At 48.0% G+C, this 13,929-nt stretch overlaps 1 long non-coding RNA gene across 3 annotated transcripts in view, besides 3 other annotated features; it reads right to left on the minus strand.

Moving 5' to 3' along the window:
- Nucleotides 1-13,929, minus strand: part of LINC01754 (long intergenic non-protein coding RNA 1754) — a 29,379-nt gene that overhangs the window by 2,652 nt on the left and 12,798 nt on the right. For all 3 annotated transcript variants that reach the window (NR_146496.1, NR_146495.1, NR_146494.1), the window contains one exon: nt 11,732-11,928. This is a non-coding gene — a long non-coding RNA (long intergenic non-protein coding RNA 1754). The remainder of the gene's footprint in view (nt 1-11,731; nt 11,929-13,929) is intronic.
- Nucleotides 6,601-6,730: an enhancer, noted in NCBI's record as "active region_17989". NCBI's record gives its function as "activates an Ori minimal core promoter by ATAC-STARR-seq in GM12878 lymphoblastoid cells {active_cell/tissue: GM12878}" and the evidence as "EXISTENCE:reporter gene assay evidence [ECO:0000049][PMID:35858748]".
- Nucleotides 6,901-7,090: an enhancer, noted in NCBI's record as "active region_17990". NCBI's record gives its function as "activates an Ori minimal core promoter by ATAC-STARR-seq in GM12878 lymphoblastoid cells {active_cell/tissue: GM12878}" and the evidence as "EXISTENCE:reporter gene assay evidence [ECO:0000049][PMID:35858748]".
- Nucleotides 7,351-7,400: an enhancer, noted in NCBI's record as "active region_17991". NCBI's record gives its function as "activates an Ori minimal core promoter by ATAC-STARR-seq in GM12878 lymphoblastoid cells {active_cell/tissue: GM12878}" and the evidence as "EXISTENCE:reporter gene assay evidence [ECO:0000049][PMID:35858748]".

The following is a 13,929-nucleotide window of genomic DNA, read 5'->3' on the forward strand; positions in this document are numbered from 1 at the left end:
ACGGGGTTTCACCATGTTAGCCAGGATGGTTTCGATCTCCTGACCTTGTGATCCGCCTGCCTTGGCCCCCCAAAGTGCTGGGATTACAGGCGTGAGCCACTGCGCCCGGCCTTTTTTTTTTTTTAAATTAAAAAAATAAGGGCCAGGCACAGTGACTCACGCCTGTAATCCCAGCACTTTGGGAAGCCTAGTGGGGTGTATTACCTGAGGTCAGGAGTTTGAGACCAGCCTGGCCAACGTGGTGAAACCCCATCTCTACTAATTTGCTGGGCATGGTGGCACGCGCCTGTAGTCCCAGCTCCTTGGGGGGCTGAGGCAGGAGAATTGCTTGAACCTGAGAGGCTGAGGTTCCAGCAAGCCGAGATTGTGCCATTGCACTCCAGCCTGGGCGACAAGAATGAAACTGTCTCAAAGAAAGAAAAAAAATAAAAATAAATATGGTGCTGGGCGTGGTGGCTCATGCTGTAATCCCACCACTTTGGGAGGTAGAGGTCAGGAGTTGGAGACCAGCCTGGCCAACATGGTGAAACCCCCTCTCTACTAAAAATACAAAAATTAGCTGGGCATGGTGGCCTGTAATCCCAGCTACTTGGGAGGCTGAGGCATGAGAATCACTTGAACCCAGGAAGCGAAGGTCGCAGTGAGCCAAGATCATACCACTGCACCCCAGCCTGGGTGACAGAGCAAGACTCCGTCCCCCTCACCCCCAAAAAAGAGAGAGATGGGGTCTCTCTATGTTGCCCAGGCTGGTGTCGACCTCCTGGGCTCAAGGGATCCTCCTATCTTGGCCTCCCAAAGTGCTAAGATTACAGGCATGAACCACTGCGCCCAGCTTGAGTTGTTAAAAAAATTTTTTTTGTAGAGATGGGGTCTTGCTATGTTGCCTGGGCTGGTCTTGTACTCCAGACCTCAGCCAGTCCTCCCACCTCAGTCTCCCAAAGTGCTAGGATTACAAGTGTGAGCCACCACGCCTGGCCTAGACTAGACTGTTGATGATGGAGTGGGATGTATCTCTTCATATCCAAGAACCACTTACCCTGTTATTAATTCGACAGTTTTTATTAAATCAACTTATTTTGTTTTATTTTTTGTTTATAGAGACAGGGTCTTGCTATGTTGCCCAGGCTGGTCTTGAACTCCCCAGCTCAAGCAATCCTCCTGTCTGGGCCTCCCAAAGTGCTAGGATTACAGGTGTGAGCCCCCATGTCTGGCCTGAAATAAACGCAGTGTTTTTTTTTTTTTGAGACAGTCTTGCTCTGTCGCCCAGGCTGGAGTGCAGAAGTGTGGTCTTGGCTGACTGAAACCAGGCAAAATCTGGGCCGGGTGTGCTGGCTCATGCCTGTAATCCCAGCACTTTGGGAGGCCAAGGCAGGGGGATCTCCTGAGGTCAGAAGTTCAAGACCAGCTTGGCCAACATGGTGAAACCCTGTCTCTACTAAAAATACAAAAATTAGTCAGGTGTGGTGGTGCACGCCTGCAATCCCAGAGCTACTGAGGAGGCTGAGACAGGAAAATCGGTTGAACCTGGGAGGCAGAGGTTGCAGTGAACCGAGACCGCACCATTGCACTCCAGCCTGGGCAACAAGAGCGAAACTCAGTCTCAAAAAAAAAAATCTAAATAGGCCAGGCACGGTGGCTCATGCCTGAAATCCCAGCACTTTGGGATGCCGAGACAGGAAGGTCACTTGAGCCCAGGAATTCAAGACCAGCCTAGGAAACAGAGTGAGACCCTCCATCTCTACTAAAAATTAAAAAAATTAGCCCAGTGTGGTAACACATGCCTGTAGTCCCAGCTACTAGGGAGGCTGAGGCGGGAGGATCGCTTGAGTCTGGAAGGTGGAGGCTGCAGAGAGCCGTGATAGCACCACTGCATTCTGGCCTAAGAGAAAGAGCCAGACCCTCACACCTAATCCCAGAACTTTGGGAGGCCGAGGTGAGCAAATCACGAGGTCAGGAGATCAAGACCATCCTGGCTAACACAGTGAAGCCCCGTCTCTACTAAAAATACAAAAAATTAGCCGGGTGTGGTGGCAGGTGCCTGTAGTCTCAGCTACTCGGGAGGCTGAGGCAAGAGAATGGCGTGAACCTGGGAGGCGGAGCTTGCAGTGAACCGAGATCATGCCACTGCACTCCAGCCTGGGTGACAGAGCGAGACTCAAAAAAAAAAAAAAAAAAAAAAAAAAAAAGCCAGACACTGTCTCAAAAAAAAAGAAAAGAAAAGAAAAGAAAAACCTGAAATACTTATTTCAGCCTGATAGAGTCCATTGAGGAGAGAACAGGAACAGGAGAGAAAGGGGAGATGGTAGCGATAAACATGCCTTCGAGAAATTTTACTAAACAAAGGAGCAGAGAAATGGGACCCTCTGTGGAATGACATCCCCAGAGGTGTCTAGCTAGATAAGACAGTAAGATTTGCCGGGCACGGTGGCTCACGCCTGTAATCCCAGCACTTTGGGAGGCTGAGGCGGGCGGATAACTTGAGGTCAGGAGTTCGAGACCAGCCTGGCCAACATGGTGAAACCCCATCTCTATTGAAAATACAAAAATTAGTGGGGCATGGTGGGCAGGCCCCTGTAATCCCAGGCAGGAGAATTGCTTGAACCTGAGAGGTGGAGGTTGTAGTGAGCCAAGATCGCACCACTGCACTCTAGCCTGGGTGACAGGGCAAGACTCCGTCTCGAAAAAAAAAAAAAAAAGATTTAAGTGCATGTTGACACCTTGTATCGTCCCAGGATTTGGGGCCTGGGTCTTGCCTTGTTTCTAGATAATCTGGTTCAGTGCCAAGATTTTAAATAGCATCTCCATGCTGATGACTTCCCTATTCATATCTCCTGTCTCCTGCACACATCCAAATCTACAGACTGGCTGGCGTTCTCAGCCATCAATTGTCCAGAACAGAACTCTTGACTGGCTCTTGTCCCACCCTCTGCCCCTTCCATACGGCTTCATAAGGATGAGAGTAAGGAGTGGTCCTTGTTCTCTTTTTCCTCTCACTTGGCTTCCAGGCCATTAGCAAGCATTGAGGGCTCCCACCCTCACCCCCATCTCTACTGCTCCCATCTTTTAGTCTCTCTGTCTCCACCCGTGGCCCATGAATCACTTTTCCACTCAGCAGTCAGGCAGATCTGAAAAAGTAAATCAAGTCACGCCAGTCTTCTACTTAAAATTCAACATTTTTATCCAGGACAACCAGAATAAAAACCAAATTGGCCAGGTGCAGTGGCTCACGCCTGTGGTCCCAGCACTTTGGGAGGCCGAGATGGGCGGATCACGAGGTCAGGAGATCGAGACCATCCTGGTTAACACGGTGAAACCCCATCTCTACTAAAAATACAAAAAAATTAACCGGGCATGGTGGCGGGTGCCTGTAGTCACAGCTACTCGGGAGGCTGAGGCAGGAGAATGACGTGAACCCGGGAGGCAGAGCTTGCAGTGAGCTGAGATCACGCCACTGCACTCCAGCCTGGGCGACAGAGCAAGACTCTGTCTCAAAAAAAAAAAAAAAAAAAGAATAAAAACCAAATTTTTTTTTTGAAATAGGGTCTTGCTCTGTCACTCAGGCTGAAGTGCAGTGGTGTGATCACAGCTCACTGCAGCCTGGATCCTCCTGCATCAGCCTCCCAAGTAGCTGGGACCACAGGTGTCCCCCACCACGCCTGAGTTTCTTTTTTTTTTTTTTTGAGATGGAGTGTCTTGCTTGTCACCCAGGCTGGAGTGCAATGCCAACATCTCAGCTCACTGCAACCTCCACCTCCCGGGTTTAAGCAATTCTCCTGCCTCAGCCTCCCAAGTAGCTGGGATTACAGGTGCATGCTACCATGTCTGGCTAATTTTTATATTTTTAGTAGGGACAGGGTTTCACCATGTTGGCCAGGCTAGTCTCGAACTTCTGACCCCAGGTGATCCACCCACCTCGGCCTCCCAAAGTGCTGGGATTACAGGCATGAGCCACTGCACCTGGCCTAATTTTTTAATTTAAAAAAAATTATTATTATTATTATTATTTTTTGAGACGGAGTCTCGCTCTGTCACCCAGCTGGAGTGCAGTGGCATGATCTCAGCTCACTGCAACCTCTGCTTCCTGGGTTCAAGCAATTCTCTGCCTCAGCCTCCAGAGTAGTCAGGATTACAGGTGTCTGCCACCATGCCTGGCTAATTTTTGTATTTTTAGTAGAGACGGGGTTTCACCATGTTGACCAGGCTGGTCTTGAACTCCCAACCTCATGATCTATCTGCCTTGGCCTCCCAAAGTGCTGGGATTACAGGTGTGAGCCACTGCGCCTGGCCAATTTTTTAATTTTTATATTTGTTTGTAGAGATGGGGGTCTCCCTGTGTTGCCCAGGCTGGTCCTGAACTCCTGAGCTCAAGCAATCCTCTGGCCTCAGCCTCCCAAAGAGTTGGGATTACAGGTATGAGTCACTGTGCCTGGCCCCAGACTCTCTTCAGTGGCCTCCAAGTTCCTCCATGATCTTTTCCTGGCCTCTGATTTCATCTCATACATTCTCTGCCTTCTTCATCATTTTGTTCTCCAAGAGTCTATCCCCTGCCACGCCCACACCACCCCCACCACTGGCACCTCTTGAATTTCTCAAACTAAGATTCCTTTCCAATGGCATATTGCGTGGGATTCTCTCTTCCAGTATCTGCACATGGCCAGTTTCTTTTCATCCATCTCAACTTAAACATCACAGGTAGATGCTTTTGTGCAAACACAACCTCCCTGTCCACTCTGCCCCACATCCACATGTGGCCTTGTCATGTGGCCACGCCTAGCTGCAAAGAAAGCTGGGAAATGTAATACTTAATTGGGCAGCTCTGTGCTTCCTTTTAGTCACATCCCCCAAGGGCAGCACTATCTTGATTACTCACCGTGACATGCGATTTACATTTACACAAATAGCCTCCGGTTTTTTTTTTTTTTTTTTTTTTTTTTTTTGAGACGGAGTCTCGCTCTGTCGCCCAGGCCGGACTGCGGACTGCAGTGGCGCAATCTCGGCTCACTGCAAGCTCCGCTTCCCGGGTTCACGCCATTCTCCTGCCTCAGCCTCCCGAGTAGCTGGGACTACAGGCACCCGCCACCGCGCCCGGCTAATTTTTTGTATTTTTAGTAGAGACGGGGTTTCACCTTGTTAGCCAGGATGGTCTCGATCTCCTGACCTCATGATCCACCCGCCTCGGCCTCCCAAAGTGCTGGGATTACAGGCGTGAGCCACCGCGCCCGGCCGCCTCCTGTTTTTTTTTTGAGACGAGTCTCGCTCTGTTGCCCAGGCTGGAGTGCAGTGGCGCGATCTTGGCTCACTGCAAGCTCCGCCTCTCAGGTTCAAGCCATTCTCCTGCCTCAGCCTCCCGAGTAGATGGGACTACAGGCGCCCACCACCACGCCCGGCTAATTTCTTTTTTTCATTTTTAGTAGAGATGGGGTTTCTCCATGTTAGCCAGGATGGTCTCGATCTCCAGACCTCATGATCCACCCGCCTCGGCCTCCCAAAGTGCTGGGATTACAGGCGTGAGCCACCACGCCCAGCCAGCCTCCTGTTATTTATACTTACTCTTCACTCTGTTTTGAATATCTCTTTTACTCCAATGCTGATGAGTTCCTGTCACCTGGATTCCAGGACTTGCCTCAGATCCTAGCCTTCCAGAAGCCTAGTTTCAGCCTTTTTTTTTTTTGAGACGGAGTCTCACTCTGTCGCCCAGGCTGGAATGCAATGGTGTGATCTCGGCTCATTGCAACCTCTGCCTCCCAGGTTTAAGCAATCCTCCTGCCTCAGCCTCCCTAGTAGCTGGGATTACAGGCGTGCACCACCACGCCCAGCTAATTTTTGTATTTTTAGTAGAGACAGCGTTTCGCCATATTGGCCAGGCTGGTCTCAAACTCCTGACCTCAGGTGATCCGCCCATCTTGGCTTCCCAAAGTGCTGGGATTACAGGGATGAGCCACCACACAAGGCCTCCAGCCTTTCTTTTGAGTCAATAAGCTACACCATATTCTACCAATATTTTTACTTGAGTCAGCAGTGGTTTCCTACACCTGCAACTCAAGAACTCTAAGGGTTACTGCCTCCATTGTTTGTTAAGGCACCACAAGACTTTGCTGAACTGTACATAATGCTTTAGGTCAATAAAATAATCATCATCATAATGACAACTGAGGAGAAAGTCATGATAATATCAACCTATTGAGCACTATGGTTTTTTTGTTTTATTTTGTTGAGACAGGGTCTCTGTCACCTAGATTGGAATACAGTGGTGTGATATTAGCTCACTACAACCTCTGGCTCTTGAGCTCAAGCCATCCTCCTGCCTCAGCCTCCCGAGTAGCTGGGACTATAGGCACGTGCCACCATGCCCCGCTAATTTTTTTTTTTTTTTAAGTAGAGACGAGGTCTTGCTATGTTGCCCAGGCTGGTGTCGAACTCCTGGGCTCAAGCTGGGCTCAAGCTATCCTCCTGTCTCAGCCTCCCAGTGAGCACTATATTAGTTAGCACATAGATTCTGTACAAAGATCAAGAGAGAACAGTCTACTTTATTTCCCATTTAGTAGTCCATCTATAAGGGGTTGAGAGCTATTTGGGTGGCTTCCTGTTCTCTGGCTGGGCCCCAGGCTCCTCCTATCTTGTTGCTCAGTGTCCTCAACACATGGCTTCCACCTTAGGGACCAAGAGAGTCACTCCAGCTCCTGCAGGAAAGAAAGGAAGAGAGAGGGAGGGCACTCTCTTTTCCATTTATGGTCTTGGTCCAGGAAGTTGCCTGCATTACTTCTGTTCCCATCCCATTGGCCAGAACCTTGTCATGTGGCCACGCCTAGTTGCAAAGAAAGCTGGGAAATGTATTATTTAATTGGGCAGCTCTGTGCTTCCTTTTAGTCACATCCCCCAAGGGCAACGCTATCTTGATTACTCACCATGACATGCGTTTTACATTTACACAAATAGCCTCCTGTTACAGAGTTCTTTGGTTTTTGTTTTCACTCTGTTTTGAAGATCTCAACACGGGTCTCTGTAAATATCTAGTCCATTTCTTCGGCTTCCCCATCTTCTGTGCATTCACCACATTTTACCAAAGTACTCTCCTAGCAATGGCCCCCATATGGCCGCCTCCACACACATCACTGCCTCTTCTCCCCAGGAAGGAGATGCCGGGGCATAGGCTATGTGGGTGCAAAACACTGCCAGGTTGCTCTCCCACATAGCAGCTGCCAGCCCACACTCCTGCCAGGTGCATGTGGGGGTTCTATAGTCCCATAAAAGGTATTTTATTCATTTTTGTCATGTCTATAGTTGGACATCTGTTGTTTTTTGCATGGCCAGCATCCATTCTTCTTTTTTTGGTCACTGTGCCCTAGCATTCTTTTGGGAAACTACCTTTTCCGTCATTCTCAATCCACGTGATTCAGATGGGACTGAATCTCTTACTTACTGGTGTGACCAGGTGATGACACACTGGCCAACAACCATCTAGCACCTCCCAATCAATCCAGTGAAGGCATGTGACTCAAACTGAATCAAATTAGAGCCAGGTCAGGACTCTCACTGGAACTGTTGGGAAAAGGGCTTTCCCTTTCTCTGTGGGTGGTTAAGCTAGAGTGGGTAGAGGCCAAGACTGCTATGATCTCAGGGTAGAAGCTACCTGAGGGTGAAGCAGGCCTCCACAGAAGAAAGTATAGCTGAGAGATGAAGAGTGAGGGTAATTCTCATACTGTGAGAACCAACCATGCCTGAAGGCGACTTGCACTAGAGCTTTTATAAGTTACATAAGTTTCATAGAGTTACATAAGCCAATAAATTCCTTATTTATTTATTGAGACAGAGTCTCATTCTGTCGTTTACACTGGAGTGCAGTGGTACAATCTCAGCTCACTGCAACTTCTGCCTCCCAGGTTCAAGTGATTCTCCTACCTCAGCCTCCCAAGTAGCTGGGATTACAGGTGTGTACCACCATGTCCAGATAATTTTTTTATTTTCAGTAGAGACGGGGTTTCGCCACGTTGGCCAGGCTGGTCTCACACTCCTGGCCTCAAGTGATCCACCTGCCTCGGCCTCCCAAAGTGCTGGATCACAGGCGTGAGCCACCATACCCAGCCAAATTCTTTTTTACACAAGCCAATTTGAGTTGGGCTTAGGTCACTCAAAAGAAGTCAGACTAACCCCACCCATCCTGGTGCTAGGCATACAGTAGGTCATAGGACAAATGTTTGTTTTTTCTTTTTTTGGTAAAGAAAGGCAGACTTATTAGAGAAAGTATGAAGATACACTGCATGAAAGCAAAGGGCAGCACAGCAGAGAAGGGGCTGTCTGCAAATGTTTGTTGAATGAATGAATGAGCCCATGTGTGGGAATAAATGAGACATGACAGACAGCTACCCAGTGATGTGTAAATATCCACAGTGAGTTATCCAGGAGTTCAGGTGAGGAGCACAGGCTTACTTATTTTGCTAAATATGAATTCTAAGGCTAAACAAGACACATGTGAGCTCATTCACTCATTGCACTCCAGTTTTGTTCCTTTTGCTTTCAGATAATCAGATCACGACAGGCGCCGGCCATCACACCTGGCTTATTCTTGTATTTTTAGTAGAGATAAGGTTTCATCATGTTGGCCAGGCTGGTCTCGAACTCCTGACCTTAGGTGATCTGCCTGCCTCGGCCTCCCTAAAGTGTTAGGATTACAGGTGTGAGCCACCACGCCTGGCTCTAAAAGGGTATCTTTTTTTTTTGAGGTGGAGTTTTGCTGTTGTCACCCAGGCTGGAGTGCAATGGCATGATTTCAGCTCACTGCAACTTCCACCTGCCAGGTTCAAGTGATTCTCCTGCCTCAGCCTCTCGAGTAGCTGGAACTACAGGCACACGCCACCACGCCTGGCTAATTTTTGTGTTTTTAGTAGAGACAAGGTTTCAATGTGTTGGCCAGGCTGATCTTGAACTCCTGACTTCAAGTAACCTGGCTGTCTCGGCCTCCCAAAGTGCTGGGATTACAGACGTGAACCACTGCACCCAGCCAAGAGGGTATCTTAAGACCCCACTACATTCCCCCTAGAGGAATAGAGACTAGATAGGCACCACAGGACCCTCTATTCTGCAATTTTCTAGGTATGTTTTATTTTGAGCTGATTTTTATGAAAAGTGAGTACTGAGAAATCCTGAGTGTGGATATTAATCCCATACATCTTACAATGATTTAAATTAAAATTAAATTTGAATTTTTTTGGTCTTTTACTTGAGTATTTGTAAAAAGTAATAAATGTATTTCATTTTAAAATTACCAGTGTTCAGTCCAGGTGCAGTGGCTCACACCTGTAATCCCAGCACTTTGGGTGGCCGAGGCAGGAGGATCACTTGAGGTCAGGAGTTCGAGACCAGCCTGACCAACATGGCAAAACCCCATCTCTACTAAAAATACAAAAATTAGCCGGGTGTGGTGGCACACACCTAGTTCCTGCTCCTCGGGAGGCTAAGTCATGAGAATTGCTTGAACCCAGGAGGTGGAGATTGCAGTGAGCCGAGATCATACCACTGCACTCCAGCCTAGGCAACACAGTAAGACTCTATCTCAAAATAAATAAATAAATAAATAAATGTAAATAAAATTACCAGAGTTCAAGCACAACACAGGACATGTGTGACAGGCCTGTGTCCTTTGCATCTCTTACCTGTGATTTGCTTTTTTTTTGAGATGGAGTTTTGCTCTTGTCACTTAGGCTGGAGTGCAATGGCGAGATCTTGGCTCACTGCAACCTCTGCCTCCTGGGTTCAAGTGATTCTCCTGCCTCAGCGTCCTGAGTAGCTGGGATTACAGGCACCTGCCATCACGCCCAGCTAATTTTTTTATTTTTAGTAGAGGCGGGGTTTCACCATGTTGGCCAGGCTGGTCTTGAACTCCTGACCTCAGGTGATCCGCCTGCCTCGGCCTCCCAAAGTTCTGGGATTACAGGTGTGAGCCACTGTGCCTGGCCTCTGTGATTTGCTTTTGTATTGAGATACAGTCTCATTTTGTCACCCAGGCTGGAGTTTGTGGCATGATCATGGCTCACTGCAGCCTCAACCTCCCAGGCTCAAGCAATCCTTCAACCTCAGCCTCCCAAGTAGGTGGGACTACAGGTGCCTGCCACTACACCTGGCTAATTCTTGTATTTTTTGTAGAGGCAAGGTTTCACCATGTTGCCCAGGCTGCTGTGATTAGTTTTTGTTTTTGAGATGGAGTTTTCCTCTTGTTGCCCAGGCTGGAGTGCAATGGCACGATCTCGGCTTACCGCAATCTCTGTCTCCCGGGTTCAAGTGATTCTCCTGCCTAAGCCTCCCGAGTAGCTGGGATTACAGGCATGTGCCACCACACCTGGCTAATTTTGTATTTTTAGTAGAGACGGGGTTTCTCCATGTTGGTCAGGCTGGTCTCAAACTCCCGACCTCAGGTGATCCGCCCGCCTCAGCCTCCCAAAGTGCTGGGATTACAGGTGTGAGCCACCACACCCGGACTGATTTGTTTGGTTGGTTGGTTTTTTTGGAGATGGAGTCTCACTCTGTCGCCCAGGCTGGGGTGAAATGGCGCAATCTCGGCTCACTGCAACCTCCACCTGCCGGGTTCAAGCAATTCTCCTGTCTCAGCCTCCCTGTAGCTGGGATTACAGGCGTGCACCACCACACCCGGCTAATTTTTTGTCTTTTTAGTAGAGACGAGGCTTCACCATGTTGGTCAGGCTGGTCTTGAACTCCTGATCTCAGATGATCTACCCGCCTTGGCCTCCCAAAGTGCTGGGATTACAGGTGTGAGCCACCGCGCCTGTAGATTTGTTTTTTATCTATTTTTCAACTTTGAATTTCCAATTCATTAAAAAAGAAATCCTGGGGGTGCCAACTCTCTAGGAGCTTAATAATATTTCACTTCGGGCCTGGCGAGGTGGCTCACACATGGAATCGCAGCACTTGGGAGGCTGAGGCAAGAGGATCCCTTGAGCCCAGGAGCTCGAGACTAGCCTGGGCAACATAGCAAAACGCTGTCTCTACAAAATATGAAAAATTAGCAGGGTGTGATGGCACGCACCTGTACTCCCAGTTACTCGGGAGGCTGAGGTGGGAGGATCACTTGAGCCTGGGAAGTGGAGGCTTCGGTGAGCTGTGATCTCACCACTGCCCTCAGCCTGAGTGGCAGAGGGAGATCCTGTTTCAAAAAAAAAAACAAGATTTCACTTGAGGAACGGACTTTTGAATTCCCAAGCTAAAAGAAATCATAAGTATAATTATAATTATGGCATATTAGTGTTGCACCTAAGTAGCATAAGAAATGAATCAGGAACTTTTTGGGCTTTGGGCTTTAAATAGCAGAAACCATGATTTAGAATGGCTTACATGGCCAGGCACAGTGGCTCATGCCTGTAATCCCAGCACTTTGGGAAGCCGAGGCAGGAGAACTGCTTGAGCCCAGGAGTTTGAGAAGAGCCTGGGCAACATGGCAAGACCACACTCTACAAAAAATAAATTAGCTGGGTGTGGTGGTGCATGCCTGTGGTCTCAGCTAATCGAGAGGCTGAGTGGGAAGGATCACTGGAGCCCAGGAGGTCAAGGCTACAGTGAGCCACGTTCACACCACTGCATTCCAGCCCAACACAGGGCATGTATGACAGGCCAGCAACCTTTGCATCTCTGACCTGTGATTCACTTTTGTCTCATAAAAACAAAAACAAAACAAAACAAACAAACAAACAAAACAGAAGAAAGGAAAAAAAGAGTGGCTTACATTTTTTTTCCCCAAAAATCTGGAGGTAAGTATCTGCTGTCGCTGGCGGAACAATACCAGTGCTGGCTATTCTGTGATCATCTTGGCTTTTCTTCTTGGTAAACAAGATGGCTGCTGCAGCTCCAGGTATCATGTGAGTATTCAAAGCAGGAAGAGGCAGGAAAAGGGCTGGAGCCAGTTGTGTCTCTCCCTTTTATCTGGAAAGCAAACATTTCTTGGAAATCCAACAGCAGAGTTGGCAACTGCAGTTGCAAAGGAACCTGGGAGAACAAATGTGAAGCTTTCCAGCTTCTAAAATAGGAAGAAGAATGGCTGGGCATGGTGGCTCACGCCTGTAATCCCAGCACTTTGGGAGACCAAGACGGGTGGATCACCTGAGATCAGGAGTTTGAGACCAGCCTGGCCAACATGGTGAAACCCCGTCTCTACTGAAAATACAAAATTAGCCAGGCGCGGTGGCCTGTATCCCAGGTGCATGCCTGTAATCCCTGCTACTCGGGAAGCTGAGACAGGAGAATCGCTTGAATCTGGGAGGTGGAGGTTGCAGTGAGCCGAGATCATGCCATTGCACTCCAGCCTGGGCAACAACAACGAAAGTTCGTCTCAAAAAATAAATAAAAAAAAATAGGAAGAAGAAAAGAGTCACAGGTTAGGGATGGTAGTTGGCGTAGCTAGTAGGCTGTATCTGTCACAAGAAAGATCACAGAAGCCACAGTGTTCTAGAATATTGAAATCTCTTGTCCTCCTTTCAGTTCTTGTCCCTGAATGACAGACACCGCCAGAACTCACTTCAGGTCTATATGCATCCAGGGGCGACTTAATAGTAATTCACTATGTGAGTTATTAACGGTTATTAAAATGCAGCATTTGTGAACTAAAATTAGCCAATTTATCCATGCCTGTATTCTGCCAAGTCCTTCTGGCTGCCACTCAATGCTTAATGACCTTGCCTTTGCACAAACAGCTGAAGTGGGTATGGGGTTTCCTTTTGAGGTGATAGAAATGTTTTAGAACTAGATAGAGGCGGTGGTTACACAGCATTGTGAATGTGGTAAATACCACTTTGGTTAATTTTCCCTTATGTGAACTTCACCTTAATTTAAATGAAGGAGAAGGGAAAGGAAGAGGGAGAGGGGGAGGAGACACAGAAGGCAGAGGAAGGGAAGGAGAGAAAGAAAAACAAAGAACCTTAACAGTTATTTCTGGTGGCCATAAGGAAAAAAACTCTAATACTTTTTTTTTTTTCAGACCTGAGTTTTGCTCTTGTTGCCCAAGCTGGAATGCAATGGCGCCATCTCGGCTCATTGCAACCTCTGCCTGCTGGGTTCAAGCAATTCTCCTGCCTCAGTCTCCCGAGTAGCTGGGATTACAGGTGCCCACCACCATGCCCAGCTAATTTTTTGTATTTTTAGTAGAGATGAGGTTTCACTACATTGGCCAGGCTGGTCTCAAACTCCTGAGCTCAGGTGATCCACCCACCTTAGCCTCCCAAAGTGCTGGGATTACAGGCGTGAGCCACCTCGCCTGGCTCTACGTCATTGTGCTTTTTTTTTTTTTTTTTGAGACATTGTTTCTCTCTTGTTGCCTAGGCTGGAGTGCAATGGTGCCATCTCTGCTCACTGCAACCTCTGCCTTCCAGGTTCAAGTGATTCTCCTGCCTCAGCCTCCCGAGTAGCTGGGATTACAGGCATGCGCCACCGCACGTGGCTAATTTTTTGTATTTTTAGTAGGGACCAGGCTTCAGCATGTTGGCCAGGCTGGTGTCAAACTCCTGACCTTATGTGATCCACCCGCCTCGGCCTCCCAAAGTGCTGGGGTTACAGGCGTGAGCCACCGCGCCCGGCAACCCTAATACATTATTGTTACAGCCTTTGGGCAAGGCCTTTTAACATTTCCATGGGATAAGTTCCACTCTTGGGAACTAATATGTAAGAATATATGTGCAAGAAGATGTGTGCAATATTGTTCATCTTGGCAAAAATGGCAAACAAAGTAAATATCCATCCTTACAGAGTTTCTGAATAGATCACGGTATAGCCACACCACAGAATATTGTACAGCCACTAAAATGCTCTTTGCCAGGTGGCCTGGAGGGATGTCAATGTGATGTGTTAAATGAGAAAAGGAGGATACAGAAAAATGAGTATAACATGATGCTATTTATATAAACTCCTGTGTATTCAATGTGTATGTAGTAT

This window comes from Homo sapiens, chromosome 20, assembly GCF_000001405.40.
Source record: "Homo sapiens chromosome 20, GRCh38.p14 Primary Assembly".
Lineage (NCBI taxonomy): Eukaryota > Metazoa > Chordata > Mammalia > Primates > Hominidae > Homo > Homo sapiens.